At 48.6% G+C, this 1542-nt stretch overlaps 1 annotated feature.

Annotated features, from left to right (window-relative positions):
- Positions 1090-1290: a silencer, noted in NCBI's record as "peak6511 fragment used in MPRA reporter construct". NCBI's record gives its function as "represses an SCP1 promoter by STARR-seq MPRAs in K562 erythroleukemia cells {active_cell/tissue: K562}" and the evidence as "EXISTENCE:reporter gene assay evidence [ECO:0000049][PMID:32103011]".

The following is a 1542-nucleotide window of genomic DNA, read 5'->3' on the forward strand; positions in this document are numbered from 1 at the left end:
TTTGGCAATTTCTTTGTTTACAGAAAAGGAAAGGTGGGAGAGGCCTGTGTTCCCAAAAGCATACTCAGTGTTTTGCAACTTCTTTGAAAAGCTGCTAGGGAACCAAGGCCTTTGCTCTCAACTGAGAGTTTCCAAGGATCATGGTCCTGGTGCTGCAAACAGGGTCAGAGCTGAGGTGGTTGTTCTGTTTGTTTTGTTTTTTTTGCCAAGCTTGGGGCCGTCTCTGGGCTTATTGTGGGCTTGCACTGAGGCACTGCCTGGCAGCAGTACATGCACGGCCCAGAGAAAACTCAGATGCGTCCATGCAGCCATCAGACTGATTATTTCCATTCATCTCTGGTTACTACACTCTGGGGCATCCCCATGCTCCACAGGTAGCATTCCAAGCCCTCCCAATTCTCCATTTTCACCCCATCTCAGCCACTCCCCTGCAGCCCAGGCTCCTTCATTTGACTTTAGCACCCATGTTTCCCCTGCTGAAATGGTTGCTCCTTCCTTTCCACTGGGAGGACAATGATCTTCCATAGGTCACCTTCCCCTAGGCTCAGGGAAGCCCTGCACTCCCGCCAACACAGCAGCCATCACATTGCTTGATAACTGTTAGGAACAGAACTGTGTGCTCCCCAAAATTCACAGGCGGAAGCCCTAACCCCCAGTGTGACTGTATCTGCAGATAGAATGTTTAAAGAGGTAATTATGGTTAAATGATATCATAAGGGTAGGGCCTAATCCAATAGGACTGGTGGCCTTATAAGAAGAGAGAAAGACACCAGGAATGTGTGCACAGGAAAAAGACTACATGAGGACACCGGGAGAAAGTGGCATCTACAATCCAAGGATAGAGGCCTCAGGAGGAGCCAACCCTGCTGATGGACTTCCAGCCTCAAGGATGTGAGAAATGTCTGTTGTTTGAGCTTCCCAGTCTACGGTACTTCATCAAGCAGCCCCAGCCGACTAATACAGTCACTGCCTGCACCTCTCCTCCACAGTGGCCTCCCCTTACAACCAGAAGAGACCATCATTTCAAGTCACTTTTCTAGCATGGGATCCTCAGTAAGTGCATCACCAATAGTAGCTGTGTTGACAAAGTTTCAGCTGCAGCAGCTGTACTTGTTATCTTTCTTGTTATTGCCTTCAAGCAGAAAAATAAAATCTTCCTTATCTCTGTTAAGAAGTGTGCTTCCTGAGACTCCCTTCCCACGCTCCAGGCAATTGCCTGGAAGTCTCCACTCAATGTATCATGAGAAAGAAAGCAGCTTCAGAGGCCCAGATGGGTCACAAGGAGCAAGGTTGTTATGAAGGCTAAAAAGCTATAATGATGTGTGCATCAGCCCTCCGATGCCTGCCATGGGCCAGGGATCACACAGGGCAGTGGACGAAGATGAACAGGTGAACTGGCCTCTCTCAGAGCAACAGCCATGGAGAGATAGGAAACCCCTGTTTTGTTTTGTTTCATTTTGTTTTGTTTTCTGAGACAGAGTTTCGTTCTTGTTGTCCAGGCTGGAGTGCAATCGCGCAATCTCAGCTCACTGCAAACTCCGC

This window comes from Homo sapiens, chromosome 7 (genome assembly GCF_000001405.40).
Source record: "Homo sapiens chromosome 7, GRCh38.p14 Primary Assembly".
Lineage (NCBI taxonomy): Eukaryota > Metazoa > Chordata > Mammalia > Primates > Hominidae > Homo > Homo sapiens.